This window comes from Homo sapiens, chromosome 19 (genome assembly GCF_000001405.40).
Source record: "Homo sapiens chromosome 19, GRCh38.p14 Primary Assembly".
NCBI lineage: Eukaryota > Metazoa > Chordata > Mammalia > Primates > Hominidae > Homo > Homo sapiens.
The window spans coordinates 21,717,160-21,744,776 of NC_000019.10; the positions used below are offsets into that span (position 1 = coordinate 21,717,160).

General features: G+C 38.9%; 1 protein-coding gene and 1 pseudogene across 7 annotated transcripts in view; both read right to left on the reverse strand.

Annotated features, from left to right (window-relative positions):
- VN1R84P (vomeronasal 1 receptor 84 pseudogene) lies at positions 2,468 to 2,981 on the reverse strand (annotated as a pseudogene).
- The window catches only part of ZNF100 (zinc finger protein 100), a 44,809-nt gene continuing 22,803 nt past the window's right edge, over positions 5,612 to 27,617 (reverse strand). For 4 of the 7 annotated variants that reach the window (NM_001351671.2, NM_173531.4, XM_047438364.1 and 1 more), the window contains 2 exons: positions 26,858 to 26,956; positions 5,612 to 10,830 (listed from right to left, as the gene is read on the reverse strand). In NM_001351671.2, the coding sequence (NP_001338600.1) occupies positions 9,524 to 10,830; positions 26,858 to 26,876 (1,326 nt within the window). In that variant the 5' untranslated portion in view covers positions 26,877 to 26,956 and the 3' untranslated portion in view covers positions 5,612 to 9,523. The remainder of the gene's footprint in view (positions 10,831 to 26,857; positions 26,957 to 27,617) is intronic. The other 3 variants (NM_001351672.2, NM_001351670.2, NM_001351669.2) reach the window with 2 other exon arrangements.

Genomic DNA, 27,617 nt, shown 5'->3' on the forward strand with positions numbered 1-27,617 from the left:
AGTAGAGATGGGGTTTCACCATGTTGGCCAGGCTGGTCTTGAACTCCTGACCTCAGGTGATCCACCCACCTCAGCCTCTCAAAGTGCTGGGATTACAGACGTGAACCACCGTGTCTGGTCAGTTTTTTTTTTTTTTTTTATTTAACCTCAAAATCTTAGGAAATAAAAGGAAAAATAGATGAGTCAGATGACTTCATATTAAAAAGCTGCTGCACAGAATCTGATACAATCAACAGGATGAGACAACTAAAAAAATGAAAGAAAATATTCGCAAATTACATGTGACAAGGAGTTAATACCAAAAGTATGTAAGAAACTTTGCTGGGTGCGGTGGCTCACACTTGTAATCCCAGCATTTGGGGAGGCTGAGGTGGGCAGATCACCTGAGGTCAGGAGTTCCAGACCAGCCTGGCCAACATGGTGAAACCCCGTCTCTACTAAAAATACAAAAATTAGCCAGGCGTGGTGGCACGTGACTGTAATCCCAGATACTAGGGAGCCTGAGGCAAGAGAATTGCTTGAACCCAGGAGGTGGAGGTTGTAGTGAGCTGTGATCATACCACTGCACTCCAGCTGGGGCGACAGAGCAAGAGTCAGTCTCAAAGAAAAAAAACTACATATATATGTATATATATATATATAAATAAATATATGTATAATATATATGAAACTCAATTAACTATACAACAAAAACAAGTAACTCTTAAAATGAGCAAAAGGCTTAAATAATTTTCAAGAAAAGACATACTTATGGCCAACAGATATATTTAAATATGCCCAGTGTTAAGTACGATCAGGGAAAGGCAAGCCAAAAACAACTATGAGATATCAATTCACTCCTGTTAGAATGACTCTTATTAAAATGAAAAAGAAAAAAATGTTATGAAAGATGAGAAGGCATTGCGTGGACACTGTTGGTTTGAATGTAAATGAAGACGGCCGTTAGGAAAACAAAATAGAGATTTCTCAAAAAACTTAAAATCAAACTACCATGTAATACAGCTGTTGCACTATTGGGTATATTTCCAAAACAAATGAAATCAGAATGAAGAAACACTTACACTTCTATGTTGTTTGCAGCACTCTTCACAATAGCCAAAATATAGAATCAACAGTTCAGGCTGGGTGTGGTGGCTCACACCTGTAATTCCAGCACTTTGGGAGGACAAGGCAGGCGGATCACTTGGGGTCATAAGTTCGAGACCAGACTGGCCAACATGGCGAAACCCTGTCTCTACTAAAAATATAAAAATTAGCCAGGCATGGTGACGGGCACCTGTAATCCCAGCCACTCTGGAGGCTGAGTTGGGAGAATCACTTAAACCCAGGAGGTGGAGGTTGCAGTGAGCCAGGATTGCTCCACTGCACTCCAGCCAGGGTGACAAGAGTGAGACTTCATAAAAAAAAAAAAAAAAAAAATCAACAGTTCAGCATCTAATGAGTAAAGAAAGACAATGTGGTAGATATATACAGTGGAATACTATTTAAAAAAGAATTTTTTTGAGACCAAGTCTCTGTCTATACAATCTCGGCTCACTGCAACCTCCACATCCCTGGTTCAAGGGATTCTCATGCCTCAGCATCCAGAGTAGCTGAGATTACAGGTGTGCACCACCATGCCCAGTTAATTTTTTGTTGTATTTTTAGTAAAGATGGGGTTTCTTCATGTTGCCCAGGCTGGTTTCAAACTCCTGGGCTCATGCAATGCACCTTGGCCTTCCAGAATGCTGGGATTACAGGTGTGAGCCACCACACCTGGCCTTTAAAAAAAAATTCATTATTTTTAATCACATGGATTAAGCTGGAGAACATTAATTGAGATAAGGTTAATAGTTCATGATTTCACTTACACATGGATTCCAAAAAACATAACCTCATTGATGTAAAATGGTGACCATCAGAGGCCAATGTATTTAGAATGGGCTGGGCACGGTGGCTCACGCCTGTAATCCCCCAGCACTTTGGGAGGCTCATCACGAGGTCAGGAGGAGACCATCCTGGCCAATATAGTGAAATCCCGTCTTTACTAAAAACACAAAAATTAGCTGAGTGTGGTGGCACATGCCTGTAATCCCAGCTACTTGGGAGGCTGAGGCAGGAGAATCACTTGAACTGGGGAGGCAGAGATTGCAGTGAGCCAAGATTGTGTCACTACACTCCAGCTGGTGACAGAGTGAGACTGTCTCAAAAAAGAAAAAGAAAAAAGAGGGTTGGAATGATATCTGTCAAATAATACATAGAGTTGAATAGAAGAAATAAGTTCAAGAGATTTTTTTGTACAGCATGGTGACTATAGCTCATGTTTTTGTATTTTTGAAAAGTGGTAAGACAATGTCATGTGGTCTCACCACAAAAACGTTAACTATGTGAAGTATTAGTTACCTAGAACTAATCACCTGACAATGTATATACACTTCAAAATATTATGTTCTACAGAAAAAGTACACATTTTATCTGTCAAGTTAAGTTTTTAAAGCTTTATAGAAGGATAACAATGTGTCAAATACTGTCCATGTTTTTGTCATAATCTTGGTTGAATAGTATCAAAATATATAGTTTTTGTTTTTGGTTGAATAGTATCAAGATATATAGTTTTTGTGTTTTTATCATTTAATTTGTCAGTCATAACCGTAGGAACTCCGATATTTAACAGTATGTTCTGGACCCAGCACATTGCATGGAAGAAGCTTATGTCCTTTAGGATTTTTACTTTAAGCTCCGGGCACCTGGAGTTTCTGGTGCTGATGGTAATGGTATGAAAGACACTCAAAGAGCAGGTGTTGCTTATGGTCCCATGACTGGCCACTCTGTGAACACAGTAAACTAGTTTGCATGCAAAGTAACAGAAAATGTTTTAATCCAAATGCTGTCATGATGCCCAAAATTTATCCAGAAAAAATGACTAAGGAGTTGCCTGCATTTCAGGGACAGAAAATAAAAACTGTAGACTAAACTTCACCCACTTAAAAAATTATATGAGAAATTCCTCCAAATTGTAATATCAATATGGAAAAGCAATATTCTTTTAAGTTTCAAATTCACAGAGCTCATTATTTTGTAGCCTTTAGCATTCACTTAAAAATTATATGTGTTATCCTCCCGTCTCCCTCTCCCTCTCCCGTCTCCCTCTCCCTCTCCCGTCTCCCTCTCCCTCTCCCGTCTCCCTCTCCCTCTCCCGTCTCCCTCTCCCTCTCCCGTCTCCCTCTCCCTCTCCCGTCTCCCTCTCCCTCTCATGCCGAGCCAAAGCTGGACGGTACTGCTGCCATCTCGGCTCACTGCAACCTCCCTGCCTGATTCTCCTGCCTCAGCCTGCCGAGTGCCTGCGATTGCAGGCGCGCGCCGCCACGCCTGACTGGTTTTCGTTTTTTTTTGGTGGAGATGGGGTTTCGCTGTGTTGGCCGGGCTGGTCTCCAGCTCCTAACCGCGAGTGATCCGCCAGCCTCGGCCTCCCGAGGTGCCGGGATTGCAGATGGAGTCTCGTTCACTCAGTGCTCAATGGTGCCCAGGCTGGAGTGCAGTGGCGTGATCTCGGCTCGCTACAACCACCTCCCAGCCGCCTGCCTTGGCCTCCCAAAGAGCCGAGATTGCAGCCTCTGCCCGGCCGCCACCCCGTCTGGGAAGTGAGGAGCGTCTCTGCTTGGCCACCCATCGTCTGGGATATGAGGAGCCCCTCTGCCTGGCTGCCCAGTGTGGAAAGTGAGGAGCGTCTCTGCCCGGCCGCCATCCCATCTAGGAAGCGAGAAGCGCCTCTTCCCCGCCGCCATCCCATCTAGGAAGTGAGGAGCGTCTCTGCCCGGCCGCCCATCGTCTGAGATGTGGGGAGCACCTCTGCCCCACCGCCCTGTCTGGGATGTGAGGAGCGCCTCTGCTGGGCCGCAACCCTGTCTGGGAGGTGAGGAGTGTCTCTGCCCGGCCGCTCCGTCTGAGAAGTGAGGAAACCCTCTGCCTGGCAACCGCCCCGTCTGAGAAGTGAGGAGCCCCTCCGTCTGGCAACCACCCCGTCTGGGAAGTGAGGAGCGTCTCCGCCCGGCAGCCACCCCGTCCGGGAGGGAGGTGGGGGGGGTCAGCCCCCCGCCCGGCCAGCCGCCCCGTCCGGGAGGTGAGGGGCTCCTCTGCCCGGCCGCCCCTACTGGGAAGTGAGGAGCCCCTCTGCCCGGCCAGTCGCCCCGTCCGGGAGGGAGGCGGGGGGGGGGGGGTCGGCCAGCCGCCCCGGCCGGGAGGTGAGGGGCTCCTCTGCCCGGCCGCCCCTACTGGGAAGTGAGGAGCCCCTCTGCCCGGCCAGTCGCCCCGTCCAGGAGGGAGGTGGGGGGGTCAACCCCCCGCCCGGCCAGCCGCCCAGTCCGGGAGGGAGGTGGAGGGTCAGCCCCCCGCCTGGCCAGCCGCCCCGTCCGGGAGGTGAGGGGCGCCTCTGCCCGGCCGCCCCTACTGGGAAGTGAGGAGCCCCTCTGCCCGGCCAGCCGCCCCGCCCAGGAGGGAGGTGGGGGGGTCAGCCCCCCGCCTGGCCAGCCGCCCCATCCGGGAGGGAGGTGGGGGGGTCAGCCCCCCACCCGGCCAGCCGCCCCGTCCAGGAGGGGGGAGGGGGGGTCAGCCCCCCGCCCGGCCAGCCGCCCCGTCCGGGAGGGAGGTGGGGGGGGTCAGCCCCCCGCCCGGCCAGCCGCCCCGTCCGGGAGGGAGGTGGGGGGATCAGCCCCCTGCCTGGCCAGCCGCCCCGTCCGGGAGGTGAGGGGCGCCTCTGCCCGGCCGCCCCTACTGGGAAGTGAGGACCCCTCTGCCCGGCCAGCCGCCCCGTCCGGGAGGGAGGTGGGGGGAACAGCCCCCCCCCCGGCCAGCCGCCCTATCCAGGAGGTGAGGGGCGCCTCTGCCTGGCCGCCCCTACTGGGAAGTGAGGAGCCCCTCTGCCTGGCCAGCCGCCCCGTCCGGGAGGGCGGTGGGGGGGTCAGCCCCCCGCCCGGCCAGCCGCCCCATCTGGGAGGTGAGGGGCACTTCTGCCGGGCCGCCCCTACTGGGAAGTGAGGAGCCCCTCTGCCCGGCCACGACCCCGTCTGGGAGGTGTGCCCAGCGGCTCATTGGGGATGGGCCATGATGACAATGGCGGTTTTGTGGAATAGAAAGGCGGGAAGGGTGGGGAAAAAATTGAGAAATCGGATGGTTGCCGGGTCTGTGTGGATAGAAGTAGACATGGGAGACATTTTGTTCTGTACTAAGAAAAATTCTTCTGCCTTGGGATCCTGTTGATCTGTGACCTTATCCCCAACCCTGTGCTCTCTGAAACATGTGCTGTGTCCACTCAGGGTTAAATGGATTAAGGGCGGTGCAAGATGTGCTTTGTTAAACAGATGCTTGAAGGCAGCATGCTCGTTAAGAGTCATCACCACTCCCTAATCTTAAGTACCCAGGGACACAAACACTGCGGAAGGCCGCAGGGTCCTCTGCCTAGGAAAACCAGAGACCTTTGTTCACTTGTTTATCTGCTGACCTTCCCTCCACTATTGTCCTATGACCCTGCCAAATCCCCCTCTGCGAGAAACACCCAAGAATGATCAATAAAAATAAAAAAAAAAAAAAAAAAAAAAAATTATTATTAAATGTGAGAAAAAAAAAAATTATGTTATACTTTTATTATATAAGTATATATTTTAATAAAAGTATGTTACATAATAAAAAATAAATTTAAAATTGTTCACTTACCATTAACTCTTAAAAATTTAATTTCTACATTTTCTTGCAAATTTTATGTTTGCCACACTTTAAGAATCTAATTTTTTTTTTAACAAAGAACAACTATTCTGATTTAATCTTCTCACCTGTGGACAATGTATGCTTTTATCTTAACTAATCCGAAAGTTATATTGATAACCAAACTCTCCAGTTAAAAACAATTATTCAGTGCATTAAAAAATACCAACTTTCAGCTGGGTGCAGTGGCTTATGCCTGTAATCCAAGCACTTTGGGAGGCTGAGGCAGGTGGATCATATGAGGTCAGGAGTTTGAAACCAGCCTGGCCAACATGGTGAAACTTCGTCTCTACAAAAAATTAAAAAAAAAAAAATTCAGCCAGATGTGGTGGCAGGTGCCTGTAATCCCAGCTACTTGGGAGGCTGAGGCAGGATAATTGCTTGAACCTGGAAGGCAGAGGTTGCAGTGAGCCCACATTGCACCACTGCACTCCAGCTTGGGCAACAAGAGTGAGACTCTGTCTCAAAAAAAAAAAAAAAAAAAAAAACAACCAACTTTCTCGTCAAAATTTACAAAGTACCATGTGAAATGAAATGGCATTAAGACAACAGTGAGAAAACTGAAGCCATAACACAGAAAAAGGAGATGGGCTGTGCTGCATACATAGCTGGGGATACACATAATAAATACAGAGAAATCTGAAGATAATTAAGAAATAAAAGATGCAGAACTTCTCTTTAAATTCAGCAAGATTCAGCATTGCAGCCTGGAAACTATGTCCTCTCCACATGAAGAATCAATTTTATTTCTTCACCACTGATGTTTTCCATCTCTGAACTGAAGTTACAAGCTAACTTTAGCAGGAATACTTATGGCTTACTATGGAGCATCTGTTACACAGCAAGAACTGTCATGTATGTTTGCTACATTTAAATATAAAAACATCCTCACGACTTATAAAGCTTCCCTAGTACTTACCTGAACAAATTGACTCAATAAATAAATTTACTTATGTCAACTATAAAAAGTGAAAAGAAAAATAACTAAAGGGCTATAGAGTTCTCCAACTAAAAACAAAATGAAGTGTTCTAACTAAATAAAATGTAACTTAATACACTAATTGTGGAATTACATTTAAAAATTTTGTATGCACTAAATTTTGTAAAAATTATTCTTATAATCACAGACCAGCTCACATAATGAATACTTCATAATCTGTAAAATATTTATATGAAAAAAGATACAAAATAATTAGGGGTCTATCATGAGTACCAGGCAAGTATAAACAGAATTTTCATGGGGAGATTCAGAACTATAAGCCACAGAATGTACAGTAATAAATTCAATACAAAGCAGAGAATACATTTTCTTTTAGCATTTTTGAGGCTTTTAGTTTTCTAGTAGTCATCTTGTTAAAATGATTTGTTTTGTTCAGTATTGCTTTTTTCTTCGGAAAACAGGTACAAATTCATACACACAAACTCACTCTATAATTTTCTTACACTTAAGGTTTATCTTTAGACTAACATATATTTAACTATATGTAAATCAAAACTAAATGTCTGCATGTGTTTGCAGGCAGACAGGAAACATGCTCAAAAAATAAATATTAGAAAACTTTAAAAATACTTATTCAGGCCTCAGAAATGTAGGGATTTTATTATACTTCTACATAACTTTTATTATGACCATAAAAATAACACTGTAATCAATAACAATTTAATTTTACATTTTAAAATAACTAAAAGTATAAAACTGGGTTGCTTGTAATACAAAGGATAAATACTAGAGGTGATGGATACCTCATTTACCCTGATGTGATTATTATATACTGTATTCTTGTATCAAAATATGCCATATATTGCATGAATATATACTCATATTATGTACCCCAAATAATTAAGAAAAATAAATTTAAATAAAATAAACATTTGGCTGGGCACGGTGGCTCATGCCTGTAATCCCAGAACTTTGGGAAGCCGAGGCAGGCAAATCATTTAAGGTCAGGAGTTCGAGACCAGCTTGACTTACATTATGAAACCCTGTCTCTACTAAAATACAAAAATTAGCTGGGCATGGTGGTGGGTGCCTGTAATCCCAGCTACTTAGGAGGCTGAGGCAGGAGAATTGCGTGAACCCAGGAGGTGGAGGTTACAGTGAGCCGAGATCGTGCCACTGCACTCCAGCCTGGGTGACAGAGCAAGACTACCTCTCAAAAATAAAATAAAATAAAAACAAAAATTTAACCTACAGAAATAATATTCTTTAACTTATTTGCAGTCAAAGCCACTAGCAAAAGAGATTACTAGAGATGTTAATCCATTATGTTACCAAATAGTATACTGTTACCATGTTTTACGTACACCCTTGAGTAAGGTGGAATAGGTTAATGTCTGTGGCATAATAACACTTCACTGAATGCACAATAGTATTTAACATGTTAAAAAGGTTGAATATATTAACATCACATATAATCTGAAATTTAAAAAATATACTGCATTTTATATAAAAGTATTAGTAAAATATACTAATTTTAATTTACTTATAAATGAAATTAAGTTTTCTCATAATGCAGAATATTACTCTGAATGCCTAACGCACACATTGCTTAATATTATAAGTTAACCATAAAAGTCTCTTCACTTAGATTTTCATCATACATCTCATATTTTAATGTCTTTTTCATAGCAAAGTTTATAAATAATGCTCACCTAATAAAAAAGAATCTCTCATATCTGATGCAGCAACAATTGATCACATGCTTTCACATGTAAATAGGAGTGAAGAAAAGGCAGGAAATAATTTAAGAGTTGAATTACATTATTACTCACTTTTCAAAAAATCTAATTTTTTCAAAAAGTTAAGCATACTTTGAATGCAATAACTGCAAAAAATTTCTACTTTTAAAGTTATATACAAATATTTTACCAATTTTAGTTTTAGATTATTTTCTATACTCAGCACTCTGATTTAGTAAAATACCTGAAGCATCAGTGCCTTACATATTTCTACTGTAAATTCTCTGATATTTACAGACTTAATGATTAAAATTTTTAAAAAATTTTTCCTGTATCTGCAAAAATATGTTTTAGTATGAACTCTCTGGTGTTTTCTAAGCTGTAGTTTTTGAAAAAGTATTTTTCCAACTTTATTACATTCGCACAGTTTTTTTCAATATAAATTCCCTGATATTGAACAAAGTTTGAGCAACTGCTTCAGAGGTTTCCTCTAATACAAAACGTGTACAGTAAGATCTGTGATACAAGTAAACATATTACAATTCTACTACAATGTTCTTCTTCAAAATACTCTTCACTTTAAAAGCTTATATTTTCTTAAAGATATTTTGACAGTAGTTGCACTTATGTTTTTATTGAGTATGAACTCTCTGATGTTGAGTAAGATGTGAGCATGTATTAATGGCTTTTTCACAGTCTTTATATTTGTACAATATTTCTCAAGTATAAATGCTTTCCTGTGAAGGTGTGAGCATTAGTTAAAAGTTTTGTCACACTGTTCACACATGTAGAAGTTTTCTCCAGTATAACTTACCTTACCTACAATCAAGTGTGACAACCATTTAAAACTTTATCACATTCTTCACATTTCTAGGATTTCTCAACACTATGATTTATGTTTTGAAAAGTTTGAGGTGTTTTCAAAGCACTGTCACATCTTTCTGGTTTGTAGAATTTCTCTCTAGTATGAATTATCTTATGTCTGTTAGGAATTGAGAATTTATTAAAGGCTTTGCCATATTCTTCACAGTCACAGGAGTTCCCTCCAGTATGAATTTTTTTATGTTTAGTAAGAGTTGAGGACTGGTAAAAGGCTTTGCCACATTTTTCACATTTGTAGGGTTTCTCTCCAGTATGAGTTATTTTGTTTAATAAGGCTTAGGGACTGGTTAAAGTCTTTACCACATTCTTCCCATTTGTAAGATTTCTCTCCAGTATGAGTTATCTTATGTTTAGTAAGGGTTGAGGATCGGTTAAAAGCTTTGCCACATTCCTCACATTTGTAGGGTTTCTCTCCAGTATGAATCATCTTATGTGCAGTTAGTTGTGAGGACCGGTTAAAGGCTTTGCCACATTCGTCACATTTGTAGGGTTTCTCTCCAGTATGAATCATCTTATGGGTAGTAAGGTTTGAGGACTCATTAAAAGCTTTGCCACATTCTTCACATTTGTAGGGTTTCTCTCCAGTATGAATTCTCTTATGTTTAGTGAGGGCTGAGGACCAGTTAAAGCCTTTGCCGCATTCTTCACATTTGTAGAATTTCTCTCCAGTATGACTTGTCTTATGTTTAGTAAGGTATGAGAATCGGTAAAAAGCTTTGCCACATTCTTCACATTTGTAAGGTTTCTCTCCAGCATGAGTTATCTTATGTGTAGTAAGGGTTGAGGACTGGTTAAAGGCTTTGCCACATTCTTCACATTTGTAGGGTTTCTCTCCAGTATGAATTATCCTGTGTGTAGTAAGGTGTGAGGACCGGTTAAAAGCTTTGCCACATTCTGTACATTTGTAGGGTTTCACTCCAGTATGAATTCTTTTATGTGTAGTAAGGTGTGAAGACCGGTTAAAAGCTTTCCCACATTCTTCACATCTGTATGGTTTCTCTCCAGTATGAATTATCTTATGTGTAGTAAGGTGTGAGGACCGGTTAAATGCTTTCCCACATTCTTCACATTTGTAGGGTTTCTCTCCAGTATGAATTCTCCTGTGTGTAGTAAGGGTTGAGAACCAGTTGAAGGCTTTGCCACAATCTTTACATTGGTAGGAATTCTCTGTAATATGAAATCTTTTATGTTGAGTTAGGTGTAAAAGCATGCAAAATGATTTTTCACATTTTTTACATTTGAAAGGTTTCTTTCTAGTATGTCTTATCTTATGTCTGTTTGAATTTGAAAATGTATGAAAGACTTTTGCAGATGGATCACATTGAAATATGTTGCTCTGGGTAGTTATCAAACACTGGTTTAATTTGTTATCATGTTCTTTGTGCACTTTACACTCATCCACACTTTTACAGCCTTTTTGTAACTGTAAATTGTCATGTCCATATTTTCCATATTTTTTCAGAATCGCTTCTTGAAAAGAATCTTTAATGTCCTGCTCTGCCCAAAGGTCTTGGGGAAAATGAGAACATATAACTGAAAGAAATAAAAATAACAAATTACTTTACTTACTAGACACAGATAGTTTACAAATCTAACCTCTAATATACAAACTACATAAATAAGATGGCATAGGAAAATACCAAAGGCCCTCATTCCTTTATAGACATATAAATGTAAAAAAAAAAAAACCAACCAAATTACATCTGAAAAAAATTATAAATGAGTTAAGTGTGTGAAGTGCCCCTGGTGAGAACAATGCAAAGAGCCACTTAGAAGTAAAAGTCTGTACATTTACCCAACAGAGCTCTTTCTGCTCCCCAATATAACATACTGTCTTTAGAAGTAAATTGCCAACTTGTTTTTAATGACAAGTAAAATACTGGCACATTTATCTTTATTACTTGCTTCTAGGAGCCTTTCCAGACACTGGTTTGTGTCTCTCTTGAAATATAATGCTGAAAGAAACGGTGGTATACTTTGGAGTGACAGTCTTAACTTTGCTGAGACCAAAGGTAAATGTTTCAGCAACAGAGAGACTGCTGTACCACAGACAGAAAACAGGTGTAGCACGTGATTATTATTAAGAAGAAACATGAATAAACTCCTTTAACTAAAAGAGAAAGACAAAATCTCAGACAAGACACATTCTAAGAACATGTTTGAGAGACTCCCAGAATCTCTAACCAAGACGATTGTTCAGACTATGCCAGGACAAAGCTACATTATAAAGATTGTGACAGGTAGCCTTTTTTAATGTCCAAATTTCAATCAAGGATTACAATGTATACAAAATAAGGCAATATGGTTCCATAAAAATATAAAATTTTAAAAAAGAAACTATAAAAAAGATGTATACACACCGATTTTAAAAATTGAAAATAAATTGAATAATACTCAGTGAGTGAAACAGGAAGACAGAGAACTATAGAAAATCAGAAAAATGAAGATAAGAACATAAATATTTAGAATATCAAAAAAACAAATTGTGGAGGTAATAAATATAAAAAAGAATAGCTGAAAAATATTGAAAGAAACGATGTAAAGATGAAGAAGCTCAACAAACAAACTAGGAAACACACAAAGATATTTATAACAAACACATATATAAGCACAATTTCAAAAGTCACAGACAAGAGAACCTTGGGAGCTGCAAGATAAAAGTGATGCGTCATTTGCCAGCATAGTCTTATGAGACAGCCAGTGAATTGTCAATAAAAATTTTGCAGGCCAGAAGGGAAGTGTGTAATAAAGTCAAACTCCTGTAAAATACAGCAATCAAGTAAGCATAATACTATCAGCAAATCTGTCCTGCCAAATAAAAAGAAAATAACTTTCAAAAGTAACAAAATTCTGAAAAGTATATTGGAACTCCATAAACCCTACATACAAAATGTACTGAAAGCAGTTGCTTCTATTGAAAATAACATGATTCAACAAAAACAACACAGTCAAATAAAAATACATTACTTTCGGGAGGGGGGAGGGATAGCATTAGGAGAAATACCTAATGTAAACGACGAGTTAATGGGTGCAGCACACCAACATGGCACATGTATACATATGTAACAAACCTGTACATTGTGCACATGTACCCTAGAACTTAAAGTATAATAATGAAAGAAAAAATAAAAACAAAACAAAACAAAAACAAAAAACAACAAAAAAATACATTACTTTCTGGGAAAGATTATATGCACATATATACTTTTACTTCTAAGTATATGCACATACACCAAAATGGAATTCCTTAGCATTATCATAATGGTGCAGAAAACATTTTTAATTATTCTCTAAAATTTGAAAGTGAAAATCAGAGAAATCATTATAAACATCTGTTAATAAATATACAACATAAAAAGATATAATTAGCAAAATCAATGACAAATTTGAGGGGAGAAGTAATGAGAAAAAAAATGTGCATGCAACTGAAGTTCTTTTTTACCAGATTGAAATATACTGTTATATCTTTTAGAGGTTTACGTAATCCCCAAGGTCCAAAAAAGAACATGTGTGTATAGATACACAAAACAAGAAAGAAGTAAAAGCATATCAATATAAAAATAAAAAGATACAAAGACAGAGAGAAAATGAGTGACCAAGATATAAGAATCAAATAAAACAATTAATAAAATAACATTAGTATGTCTTTCTGTTTCAGAAAATTATTTAAATATATATGTTTAACTTTCCAATCAAGAGACATACTTTCAATAGAGACTTATTTAAATATTTTAAAAACTGAGATCCAACTTGCCTTTCTACGACAGTAAGCTGAGATCTATTGATTAAAAAAAAACTGAAAGTGGCAAGATGGATGTAGATATTGCATGTAAATATTAACCAAATGAGAGAAGAGGTCAAAATAATATTACATAAGCTACATCTTACGTGAAAAACTTTCATATTTTATAAAATGTACTGCAAGTCAAAACTGCAAAGAGACAAAGAAGGGCATTAAACAATAATAGATTCATTTACTGATAACCTAAGTGTGTGTGTGTGTGTGTGTGTGTGTGTGTGTGTATCTCACATTAAGGTTCCAAATACATAAAGCAAATATTGATAGAACTGAAGAAACATCTAGACAGCAATACTATAGTAGGACATTTCAATAACTTACTTTCTGTAATAAAAATAAATCAAAACAGAATATTTGTAAGTGAAGAGAGGACGTGAAGGCAGTATAAAACAATTATTTCTAACAGAGGTATAGAGAAGATTCCTCAACAATATCGGGATACACATGCTTCTCAATTGCTCATACAACATTCTCCTTAATAGACCACATGTTAGGCCAAAAAAGAAGTCTTAACACATTTGTTAAGACTGAGATTGTATGGATTATATTACATGAACAAAATGGGAGTATAAAACAATAATAGAAAAACAATTAAACATTTACAAATATATGGAAATTAACACACTCTTGAGCATGCTCCTGTTCAAAGATAGAAATAATAGATATTTTGAAAATGTCCATACTTTTCAAAGTAATCTACAGATTTAGTGCAATGTTGTTAAAAATTTCTCATTGCATTTTTGAGAAACTAGAAACAACAACCCCAAAAGTATATAAAATGTCAAGAGACAATAAAGTACCCAAGAGTCTTCAAAAAAAAGAAAATGTTGAAGGCATTATAGTTCCTGATTTAAAAGCACATTGCAAAGCTACATAATTAAAACAAGTTGGTATGAGTATAATGGTTAAAAAGTAGACTAATAAAATAGAATGCCACATCTATAGAAACTTTCACATATATGTTTATATGAAGAGTTATTTTCATATCCATAATTATTGCAGCATTTTTTACCAATAGCAATGCAAGTTTCTTTCCTTTTTCTTTCCTTTTTTTTTTATTTTTTATTTTTTGAGATGGAGTCTTGCACTGTTGCCCAGGCTGGAGTGCAGTGGCATGATCTTGGCTCACTGCAACCTCCGCCTCCTGGGTTCAAGTGATTCTCCTGCCTCAGCCTCCTGAGTAGCTGGGACTACAGGTGTGTGCCACCATGCCTGGCTAATTTTTGTATTTTTAGCAGAGACAGCATTTCACCATGTTGGCCAGGATGGTCTCGATCTCTTGACCTTGATATCCGCCTGCCTCAGCCTCTCAAAGTGCTGGGATTACAGGCATGAGCCACCGTGCCCGGCAATGCAACTTTCTGTCACCAAATTATCCAATAGATATAATTTGCAATATAAAAATACTGGAATATCATCCAGGATTTAAAAAGCAGGAAATATTCTAATAACTCTAAAAATAAAGCTTGATGACATTATGCAAAATAAAATGAGCTAGCCACAATGAGACAGAGATTGTATGAGACACATGAAGCAGTCACATTCTTAGAAATAGAAAACAAAGTGGTGTTTGCAAAGTGCCAGAACATCAGACAAATTGGTTGTTGTACATTGAGATTTAGCTTTGCAAGATAAAACATTCTAGGGGTATGCTGCATAACATTATCAATATAATTAAGAGGAATAAACAGAATATTAAAAAATATTTGATAATGGGCCTGGTGCCGGGACTCACATCTGTAATCCCAGCACTTTGGGAGGCCAAGGTGGGCGGATCACAAGGTCAGGAGTTCGAGACCAGCCTGGCCAACACAGTGAGGCAAAAGAATCACTTGAACCCAGGAGGCGGAGGTTGCAGCGAGCCAAGATCCCGCCACTACACCCCAGTCTTGGCGACAGAGCGAGACTCCGTCTCAAAAAAAAAAAATTGCTAATATTTTATGTGTTCAAGTAAAAATGAACAATTAATACCAAGAAAGATACAGTTACAATAGTTTCAATATTATCTTCAAATCCCAAAGTGTTTCTCCCACATAGAAGTAATGTAGATTCACAACAGATATTGAAATTAGGAGAATTTTTATAACTGGTCACCTAGCCAAGATTGAACGACCATTTACAACAAACCTACACAACAAATATACAAGTCATAAAATAAACAGAGATGATATTTGTAGAGGCAAACAAACACAGAGGTAATTATATTGGCAGTAGACATATGGCTGATTTATATTTGATTTGGCTAGACACAGTCTTAAATTGTACAGAGTTAAACACTGTCATACACAATGGCAATATAAAATAAAACACCAAAACACAAGCAACTGGTGTTAGGTGTCATACCTTAAAATACATAACACAATATAAAATATATATATATATAATATATGTAAAATATATAACACAAAATTAAAATATGGAATGTAAAACGTATTGGATGCCATCAAGTAGATCAATATATTCATCAAATGAATCTTAGAAGAATATAGGGAAAAAGTAATACAGAGGTAACTTGAAGACAAAAAAGGCTGAGAACTTCCCAAATTTTTATGTAACAAAAAAATTTCTAACCAATATTTAATTCAAAATTATTTTACTTCAAAAACAAGATAAAAATAAGGACTTTCCAAAATAAAAATTCAGGGCATTTATTACAACTACCACAGTCCTACATAAAATGTTACATGGTGGCCAGGCACAGTGGCTCAGGCCTGTAATTCTACAGCTTTAGGAAGCCAAGGCAGATAGATCACTTGAGACCAGTAGTTCAAGATCAGCCAGAGAAACATAGTGAAACTCTGCATATAAACAAAAAGAAATGCTAAAATGAGTCCATTATGTTGAAGAACAAAATGATGCCAGAAGTATCAAAAAAATGTATAAATATAAAACTCTCTATTAAATGTAAATACAGACACATATAGAATTTTTTTACTATCATAATGATGCACATAAAACCCTTACAGTTCTTTAGATATAAAAAACAAGATATAAATCTGCATAAATCTGTTAATAGATACACAATGTAAGATAATATGGTTTTTAATATTAATAACAAATTGGAAAATATAACAACAGAGGTTTTGTACTTAATTGAAGGTGTGATGAGATTAAAATACATTGTTTTAACTTTAAGATGTTTTATGTAATCTGTTTTTCAATATGGTTACATTATATTTCAAGATGATTACATTATACTTCTGGAAAGTATGCAAAACAAAATAAAAAATAATCAAAGCAAGTCACAACAAAATTAAAACAAACAAAAATTAAGGTAGTAACACAGGAAATGAGAAAAGACATATCTACAAGAAACACATAAAATAGTAACAATGAGGTGATTTCTGCAGATCAGCAGACTTAGTCTTTCCCCCTGCTGGCTGAGGAATCTGGGCAGTCCAGATGTATGGAATTTCTCCCAGTGAAGCACACCCCCTTCACCAAGAAGCAGCCAGAGTGCCTTGTTAAATGGTTCCTGAATCCTGTGCATCCTGACTGAGTGAGGACCACCCCACCAACAGGCATTGTAAGACAACTTATAAAGAAGTATTCCCACTGTCATCAGCTCAGTGCCCATCTGGGATAAAGCTTACAGATGAAGGAGCAGGCAGTTCTCTCTGCTGTTCTACACACTCCACTGGTGACACCTCCAGGTGTGGGAGAAACCCAGGCAAATAGGATCTGAAGTGGATCCCAAGCAAATCACAGCGGCCCTACAGAAGACGGGCCTGACTGTTAAAGGAAAAACAGAAAGCAACCACAGCAGCATCAACAAAAATGTCCCCACAAAAACCCCATCCAAAGGTCAGCAGCCTCAAAGACCAAAGCTAGATAAACTCATGACGATCAGAAGAATCAACCAAAAAATGCTGAAAACTCAAAAACCCAGAGTGTCTCTACTCCTCCAAATAATCAAAACATATTTCCAGCAAGAGCACAGAACCGGGAGAAGCCTGAGATGGATAAACTGACAGAAGTAGGCTTCAGAAGGTGGGTAATAATGAACTTCAGTGAGCTAATGAAGCATGTTCTAACCCAATGCAAAAAAGCCAGGAACCATGAAAAACATTACAGGAGCTGTTAACCCGAATAACCAGTTTAGAGAGGAACATAAACGACCTGATGCAACTGAAAAACAACATGAGAACCTCACAATGCAACCACAAGTATCAGTAACTGAGTAGACCAAGCAGGAAAAAGAATTTCAGAGCTTGAAGACTATCTTGCTAAAATAAGGCAGATAAGATTGAAAAAATAAAAATAAAAAGGAATGAAAAAAATCTTCAAGAACTATTGGATTATGTAAACAGACCAAACTTACAACTGATTGCAGTACACTAAAGAGAGGGAAAGAATGGAACCAAGTTGGAAAACATACTTCAGGATATCATCGAGAAAAACTTTTCCAACCTAACAAGACAGGCCATCATTCAAATTCAGAAAATCCAGAGGACCCCAGTAAGATACTCCATGAGAAGATCAACCTCAAGACACATAATTATCAGATTATTCAAGTTTAAACTTCAGGAAAAAATGATAAGGACAGCCAACCGGAAGGCCAGGTCACCCAGAAAGGGAAGCCCATCAGAGTAAAAGTGGACCTCTAAAAAGATACCCTACAAGCCAGAAGACATTGGGGGCCAATATTCAGCATTCTTAAAAAAAATGAATTTCTAACCCAGAATATCCTGCAACTAAGCTTCATAGTGAAGGAGAAATGAAATCATTTTCAGACAAACAAATGCTGAGGGAATTCATCACCACTAGGCCTGCTTTGCAAGAGCTCCTGAAAGAAGCACTAAATATGAAAAGAAGAAACCACTACCAGCAAATGCAAAACACATTGAAGTACAAAGACCAATGACACTACAAAACAACTACGTCAACAGGTCTGCAAAATAACCAGCTAGCACCATGAGAACAGGATCAAATTCACACATAACAATATTAACCTTAAATTTAAATGGACTGAATGCTCCAATTAATACCAGAACTTTTGGAGGCCGAGGTGGGTGGATCATGAGGTCAGGAGATCGAGACCATCTTAGCTAACACGGTGAAACCCCGTCTCTACTAAAAATACAAAAAATTAGCAGGGCGTGGTGGTGGGTGCCTGTAGTCCCAGCTACTCGGGAGGCTGAGGCAGGAGAATGGCATGAACCCCGGAGGCGGAGCTGGAAGTGAGCCAAGATTGTGCCACTGCACTCCAGACTCCAGCCTGGGCGACCGTGTAAGACTCTGTCTCAAAAAAAAAAAAAAAAAAAAAGGCACAGAATGGCAAGCTGGTTAAAGAGTCAACTCACTGGTGTGCTGTATTCAAGAGACCCATCTCACATGCAACGACACACATAGCCTCAAAATAAAGGGAGAAGAATTTACCAAGCAAATAAAATCAGAAAAAAAGCAGAGGTTGCAATCATAGTTTCTGATAAAACAGACTTTAAACCAACAAAGATCAAAAAAGACAAGGAAGGACACTACATAATGCTAAAGGGATCAATTCAAGGAACACCCAGATTTGTTTTTATTGCTCGCTTGATTGATTTTTTTTGAGACGGAGTCTTACTCTGTCACCCAGGCTGGAGTACAGTGGCATGATCTTGGCTCACTGCAAGCTCTGCCTCCCGGGTTCACACCATTCTCCTGCCTCAGCCTCCTGAGCAGCTGGGACTACAGGTGCCCGCCACCACATTCGGCTAGTATTTTGTATTTTTAGTAGAGACGGGGTTTCACCTTGTTAGCCAGGATGGTCTCGATCTCCCGACCTCATGATCTGTCAGCCTCAGCCTCCAAAAGTGCTGGCATTACAGGCGTGAGCCACCATGCCCGGCCTTATTGATTTATTTTTTTGAGATGGAATCTCACTCTGTTGCCCATGCTAGAGTGCAATGGCGCGATCTTGGCTCACTGCAACCTTCACTTCGCAGGTTCAAGTGATTCTCCTGCCTCAGCTTCCTGAGTAGGTGGGATTACAGGCACCAACCACTATGCCCAGCTAATTTTTGTATTTTTAATAGAGACAGAGTTTCACCATGTCTAGGCTGGTCTCAAACTCCTGACCTCAGGGGATCTGCCTGCCTTGGCCTCCCAAAATGCTGGCATTACAGGCATGAGCCACACATCCAGCCAGCACTCAGATTTATAAAACATACTTAGATACCTACAAAGAGACTTAGACTCCCAAACAATGACAGTGGGAGACTTTAACACCCCACTGCCAATACTAGACAGATCTCTGAGAGAGAAAAATAACAAGGATATTCAGGACTTGGACTCAGCTCTAGGTCAAGTGGACCTGATAGATATTTACAGAACTCACCAGCCAAAAACACAATACACATTCTTCTAATTGCCACATGGCACTTACTCTAAAATTGATTACATAATTGGAAGTAAAACATTCCTTAGCAAATTCAAAAGAACCAAAATCATAACAGTTTCTCAGACCACAGTGCAATCAAATTAGAACTCAAGAGTAAGAATCTCACTCAAAACCACACAACTGCATGGAAATTTAACAACATACTCCTGAATGACTTCTGAGTAAATAATAAAATTAAGTCAGAAATAAAAAAATTCTTTGAAACCAATGAGAACAAAGAGACAATATACCAGAATCTCTGGAATGCAGCTAAAGTAGTGTTAAGGGGGAAAATATAGCACTAAATACCCACATCAAAAAGCTAGAAAGATCTCAAATTGACTTCCTAACATCACAACTAAAAGGAAAAGAGAACCAAGAGCAAACAAACCCCAAAGCCAGCAGAAGACAAAAAATAACCAGGATCAGAGTGGAACCATAGGAGATAGAGACACAAAAAAAACCCTTCAAAAAAATCAATATATCCAGGAGCTGTTTAAAAAAAATAAAATAAAAGAGATAGACCACTAGCTAGATTAATAAAGAAAAGAGAGAAGAATGAAATAGACACAATAAAAAATGATAAAGCAGATATCAGCACTGACCCTACATTAATACAATCATCAGGGCTTGGCGTGGTAGATCATGCCTGTAATCCCAGCACTTTGGGAGGGTGAAGTGGGTGGATCACCTGAGGTCAGGACTTCTAGAGCAGCCTGGCCAACAAAGTGAAACCCTGTCTCTACTAAAAATAAAAAAATAAAAAAAATTAGTTGGGCATGGTGGCTGGTGCTTATAATCCCATCTACTCAGGCGGCCGAGGCAGGAGAATTACTTGAACCCAGGAGGCGGATGTTGCAGTGAACCGAGATTGCACCATCACACTCCAGCCTGGGGGACAAGAGTGAGACTTCATTCCAAAAATAAAAAAAAAGAAGAAAAAAAAAAAAGGAAATACAATCATCAGAAAATACTATAAACACCACTATGCACATAAACTGGAAAATCTAGAAGAAATGGATAAATTACTGGACATCTACACCCTCCCAAGACTGAACCAGGAAGAAGTTGAATCCCTGAATAGACCAACAACAAGTTCTGAAATTGAGACAGTAATAAGTAGGCTGCCAACCAAAAGAAGCCCAGGACCAGATGGATTTACAGCTGAATTCTACCAGAGGTACAAAGAAGAGCTGGCACCATTTCTTCTGAAACCATTTTAAATGAAAGAAAAGTAGGAACTCCTCCCTCATTTTATAAGATCAGCATCATTCTGATATCCAACCTGGCAGAGATATAAAAACAACAACAACAAAAACTTAAAACCAATATCCCTGATAAATATCGATGCAGGCCGGGCACAGTGGTTCTTGCCTGTAATCCCAGCACTTTGAGAGGCTGAGGCGGGCAGATCAGCTGAGGTTAGGAGTTCAAGACCAGCCTGGCCAACATGGTGAAACCCCATCTCTATTAAAAATACAAAAATTATCTGGGTGTGGTAGCGCACGCCTGTGATCCCAGCTACTCAGGAAACTGAGTCAGGGGAACTGCTTGAACCCAGGAGGTGGAGGTTGCAATGAGCCGAGATGGTGCCACTGCAGTCCAGCCTGGGCGATAGAGTGACACTATGTCAAAAAAAAAAAAAAAAAAAAAAAAAAAAAAAAAAAAAAAAAACTGATGGAGAATGAGAAAACTATTTTAAAATTAATGTGGAACCCAAAAAGGCCCCATATAGCCAAGACAATCTTAGGCAAAAAGAACAAAGCTGGAGGCATCATGCTATCCAACTTCAAACTATACTACAAGGCTGTAGTAACCAAAACAGCCTGGCACTGGTATAAAAACAGACACATAGACCCATGAAACAGAATAGAGAACTCAGAAATAAGACTGCAAATCTACAACTGCCTGATCTTTGAAAAACCTGACAAAAACAAGCAATAAGGAAAGAACTCCCTATTTAATAAATGGTTCTGGGAGAACTGACTAGTCATATACAGAGAATGGAAACTGGATGTGGTAAGAAAAAGAGCAAGTGTAAGGTGAAAAAGCCAGGTTCAGGCCAGGCGCAGAGACTCACGCCTGTAATCCAAGCACTTTGGGAGGTCGATGAGGTCAGGAGTTCGAAACCAGCCTGACCAACATGGTGAAATCCCATCTCTACTAAAAAACTACAAAAATTAGCTGGGCATGGTGGCGGGTGCCTATATCCCAGCTACTTGGGAGGCTGAGGCAAGAAAATTGCATGAATCAGGGAGGTGGAAGTTGCAGTGAGCCGTGATGGTACCATTGCACTCCAGCCTAGACTACAGAGTGAAACTCCATCTCAAAAAAATAAAAAAGGCCAGGTTCTTTTAATGAACCAGCTCTCATTTGAATTAATGAAGTGTAAACTTTCTGATTATCAAAAGGCTGGTGCCAAGGCATTTATGAGAAATTCGTCCCCATGACCTAAACACCTCCCTACCAGGTTCCACATCCAACATTGGGGATTACATCGCAGCATGAGGTTTGCAGAACATGTTCATCCAAACCATATCACAGACAAACTAGGCTTAACAGACATGTACAAAATTTTTCAGTTAAAAGCAAAATAATACACAATATTCTTATTTGCACCTGATGTATTCTGTTAGAACACATAACAAGTCTTATTGAAGAATACGTAGTGGCTGATACGCATAATTTCAACAATTTGGAAGACAAAAGTGAGAGGATCACTTGGGACCACAAGTATAAGACCAGTGTCAGTAACATAGTGAGAGCCTGTCCCTAGAAATAATCAAAAAATTAGCCAGGCATGGTAGTGCATGTCCATAGTCTCAGCTACTCAGGAGGCTGAGGTGTAAAGATCACTTGAGTCAAGCAGGCTGAGGTTGCAGTGAGCCAAAATTATGACACTATACTCCAGCCTGGGTGACGGAGTATGATCATGTCTGAAAATGACAACAACAAATAAATTTAAGAAGACCAAAATCATGCACTGCATGGTATCTGACCAAAACTGAATAAAACTAGGAATTAAAAGCAAAAGTAAAACTGGCAACTCCAACAATATCTAAAAATAAAACACATGGGCTGAGTGCAATGGCTCACACCTGTAATACTACCATTTTGGGAGGCTGAGGCAAGAGACCTGCTTGAGCACAGGTGTTGGAAACTAGCCTAGGCAACATAGGCTAGTCTCTAATAAATAAACTGTCTCTAATAAATAAAATAAAATAAAATTAAATTAAAACACATTCTTCAACATATTCCTGCTCGAGGGTCAAAAATTTTAATTTTGTTAAGATGCCAATACAACCTACAGAGGTGAACAAATTCAGTACAATCTCTATAAAAATCTCAATAGCACAGTTATTACAGAAATATTCTTTAAAATTTTTAAATGTGATTGTGAACTATAACTAACCAAACACCCATGAAAAGAACAAACAGGCATTATACTTCCCGATTTTAAAACATTAAAAGCTACAATAACAAAAACAGTATGGTACTGATACAAAGACAGATAAACAGATGAAAGAGCAGAATAGAGAGTTCAGAAATGAACCCTTGTGTATATGATTAAATGATCTTCCACAAAGCTGCCATGAACACACCATAGAGAAAAGATAATCATTTCAAAAAATGTTAAGAACTAAATGTCAACACTGATAAAGTTGGATCATTTCCTTGAACCGTATATAAAAAATGTTTTCAATAAAATACTTACATAAAAAAACTAACGAATCTCTTAGAACAAAATAGAAAAAAGTCATGACATGGGTCTTGGCACCATTTTCTTAGATACAACATTAAATGCATGAGCAACAACAGAAAAACAGAAAAATTTAACTACACGCTACTTCAAAATTTATCCACATTAGAAAAAAAAAACATTCAACTGTGTAAAAATGCCTCATAAGAAATGGGTGAAAATATTTGCAAGTCACATGTGATAAGAGTTAATATTCGGGCCAGGTGCAGTGGTTCACACCTGTAATCCCAGCACTTTGGAGGCTGAGGTGGGCGGATCACCTGAGGTCAGGAGTTGAAGACCAGCCTGACCAAATTACAAATTAATAATTTGTAGAGAAACACGTAAAAATAAAAATGAAAAATGAAATCACCTCACATCCATTACAATGGCCACTATAAATTTTTTAAAGACGCCAACTCTGTTGATGATGCAATGAAAATGAAACCTCTGTTGATTGTTGGTAGAAAACAAAGTTGCAGTCATTATTTTAAAATGTTACATTTCTCAAATAATTAAAAGTGGAATTATTATCAAATACAGCAACTCCATTAATGAATCTATATTCAAAATATGCAACAAAAGACCTAGAAGACATATTTGAACATCTATGATTATTGTACCAGTACTCACAAAAGTCAAAAGGCTGAGGCAACCCGGGTGTCTCTTGATTTATGAACACATCAAAAATGTAACATATACATAAAATGGAATATTATACAGACTTAAAGAAGAAAATCTTGTCAATTTTAAGACAAACTTTGAGAATATTATGTCATCTGAAATAATCCAGAAACAAAATGATGGACACTGTATGATTCCACTTATATGAGATATCTTAAATAGTCACACTCATAAAAACAGAAAGTGGAAGGGTGTTTGTCAAGGGCTGGGGAGAGGGTAAAATGGGTTGTTGTTACTTAATGGGTATTTAGTTTTAATTTCACAAGATGTAAAATTTCTGTAAGTCTTTTGCATAACAATGTGAATATACTTAACATGGCTAAAATGCAATTATTATTATTATTATTTTTTTTGAGACGGTGTTTTGCTCTTGTTGCCCAGGCTGAAGTGCAAGGGGCAATCTTGGCTCACTGCAACCTCTGGCTCCCAGGTTCAAGGAATTCTTCTGCCTCAGCCTCCCGAGTAGCTGGGATTACAGGCACCTGTCACAAGGCCCCGCTAATTTTTGTATTTTTAGTAGAGATGGGGTTTCACCATGTTGGTCAGGCTGCTCTTGAACTCCTGACCTCAGGTGGTCTGCCCACCTCAGCATCTCAAAGTGCTAGGATTACAGGCATGAGCCACCACGCCTGGCATGTAAAACTTTTTTTTTTTTTGAGACAGTCTCACTCTGTCACCCAAGCTGGAGTGCAGTGGCACAATTATGGCTCACTTCAGCCTCAAACTTCCAGGCTCAAGTAATTCTCTTCTCTCAAATTTCCCAAGTAGCTGAAACCACTTGTGCATACCACCATGCCTGGCAATTTTTTAAATAATTTTGTGGAAAGGGAATCTCCCTGTGTTGCCCTGGCTGGTCTCAAACTTTTGGGCTCAAGTGATCCTCCTTTCTTGACCTCCCAAAATCCTGGGATTACAGCTGTGAGGCACCACCATGTCTGGCCTTGAAATGTACACTTAAAGAAATTTAAGATGGTAGGCTGGGCGCGGTGGCCCATGCTGTAATCCCAGCACTCTGGGAGGCTGAGGCAGAGCGATCACTTGAGGTCAGGAATTCAAGACTAACCTGGAGAACATGGTGAAACTCTGTCTCTTCTAACAATAGAAAAAATTACCCAGGCGTGGTGGCGGGCACCTACATTCCCAGCTACTCGGGACGCTGAGGCAGGAGAATTGCTTGAACCCAGGAGGTGGGGGTTGCAGTGAGCCGAGATTGCGCTATTGCACTCCAGCCTCGGCGACAGAGCAAGACTCTGTCCCCCACCCAAAAAAAAAAAAAAAAGATTTAAGATGGTAAATTTTATGTTACGTGTTTTTACAACCATTAATTTTTCTTTTTCTTTTTTTTTTTTTTTTTTTGAGACAGAGAATTGCTTGAACCCGGGAGGCAGAGGTTGCAGTGAGCTGAGATCGCGCTATTGCACTCCAGCCTGGGCAACAACAGTGAAACGCCGTCTCAAAAAACAAAAAACAAAAAACAAAAAACAAAAGTTGAAGAGGTATTTCCTCCATCAAATTCACAGACACCAATGCAAAACTATATTGTGCCCATTGTCAATGCTTCTATTTTAACGTAGGACTGGAAGTAAGTGGCAGAATGATGAGTCAAAAACATTTTTAAAAAGCCACTGAAATTGAAGAAAAATAAGTTACTTTTTGTGGATCATATGATCTTATATATAAAAAAACCATAAACACTACATTGAAATTTGTCTAAAGTAATAAATACACTCAGTAAATTAGCAAAATATAAAATTAACATACAAGTATAAACTACTGTTCCATACATTTTAACCATCTGATACAATAAAGAAAACAATCTTATTTACAATAGCATTAAAATAATAAATTTCTGAGAGGAAATTTAACCAAGAAGGTAAAAAAAATCTTTACAATAAAAGATATAAGATAGACCAGGCACAGTGGCTCACGACTGTAATCCCAACACTTTGGGAGGCCGGGGCAGGCAGATCAAGAGGTCAACAGATCACGATCATCTGGCCAACATGGTGAAACCCCATCTCTACTAAAAATTAAAAAAATTAGCTTGGCGTGGTGGCATGTGCCTGTAGTCGCAGCTACTCAGGAGGCTGAGGCAGGAAGATTGCTTGAACCCAGGAGGTGGAGGTTGCAGTGAACCAAGATCGCGCCACTGCACTCCAACTTGATGACAGAGCGAGACTCCGTCTCAAAAAACAAAACAAAACAAAAAAGATATATCAATGAAATAAATTATTGAAGACACAAATTTTAAAATATTTCATGTCCATGGATTGAAAGAATAAATATTGTTAAAGTGTCATATTATCTAAAGTAATCTATAGCTCCAATAAACTTCCTATTAAAATTCCAGTGGCATTTTTTTCCACAGTAATAAAAAATACAATTCTAAAATTTATAAGAAACTGCAATAAACTTCAAATAGCCAAAGCAATCTTGAGGCAAAAGAACAAAGCAGAGGGGTATTATACTTTATAAGTTCTAACTATATTTCAAGAATATAGTAATAAAAACAGGATGGAATGTGCAAAAAGATTAACAAACAAAACAACGGAACAGAAAACACTACTTTCACACATTTCAGACATGATGAAAAAAGAGAACTAAAAAATAGTTTAACATAGAGTTTCCCAAAATTATGCAGATATCTGTGTGTCCCCCCAAATAATGGAAAAGTAGGGAGATTGTGCAGTCTTTTATATGCCTTGAAAAGGACTCTGGCTCTCACTGTAAACCTGAAGGAAGATCACCAAAAGGAAAGTAGAATCTTTAAAGAATTTAAAAGCATAAGACAGAAGATGCCCCTACGTGACAGCCAAAAAAAAAAAAAAAAAAAAAGCCCAAAAAACAAAAACACTCAGGCATCCCAGAAACTATTTCCTTTGGAACATAGCTTCCCAAACCACATTTTAATGACCAGCTTTCTTTTTGACCTTTGGACCTCACATCTGTGTCATCTGTTGTGTTCACTCTCACCTACCTGGGGGTTTGGCTACCATCTCATGTCTCTTTATATTCCAGGGCTCTTTTCCTTGCTCCAGACAGGTGATCAGGTCTGGCTTAGTGAGAGCAATACCTGCTTTATTAGAAATAAATAACATGAATCTTTCTCATATTCTCCAATTACCAACCTAGTACTATGCTTAGTAAAGAGGAGGTGATAGAATATTCTAGAAAATTAATCCTAACGTACTAATTAATGAGAGAAATTTCTAAATATTTAGAAAATATTTTAAATTTGTAGGTTCTTAATTTCACTACCCGGTACTCATGAATCAAAAAATTGGTGGTGATGAATGGATTTTAAAATATGGGCAAATATATATGTACATATATATACATTTATTTATTTTTGAGACGGAGTCTCGCTCTATTGTCCAGGCTGGAGTGAAGTGGCATGATCTCGGCTCACTACAACCTCCACCTCCTGGGTTCAAGCAATTCTCCTGCCTCAGCCTCCTGAGTAGCTGGGACTACAGGCGCCTGCCACCATGCCCGGCTATTTCTGTATTTTTAGTAGAAATGGGGTTTCACTTTGTTGGCAAGGCTGGTCTCAAACTCCTGACCTCGTGACCCGCCTGCCTCAGCCTCCCAAAGTGCTGGTATTACAGGAGTGAGCCACCATGCCCGGCCTAAAAACATGGGCAACAATATTTTATGACACTAAATTTCTGGAATTACCACTAATCTAGAGTGAAGGATACAGATCAGCTCAGGAATATGGAAAGTTCAGGTCAAGA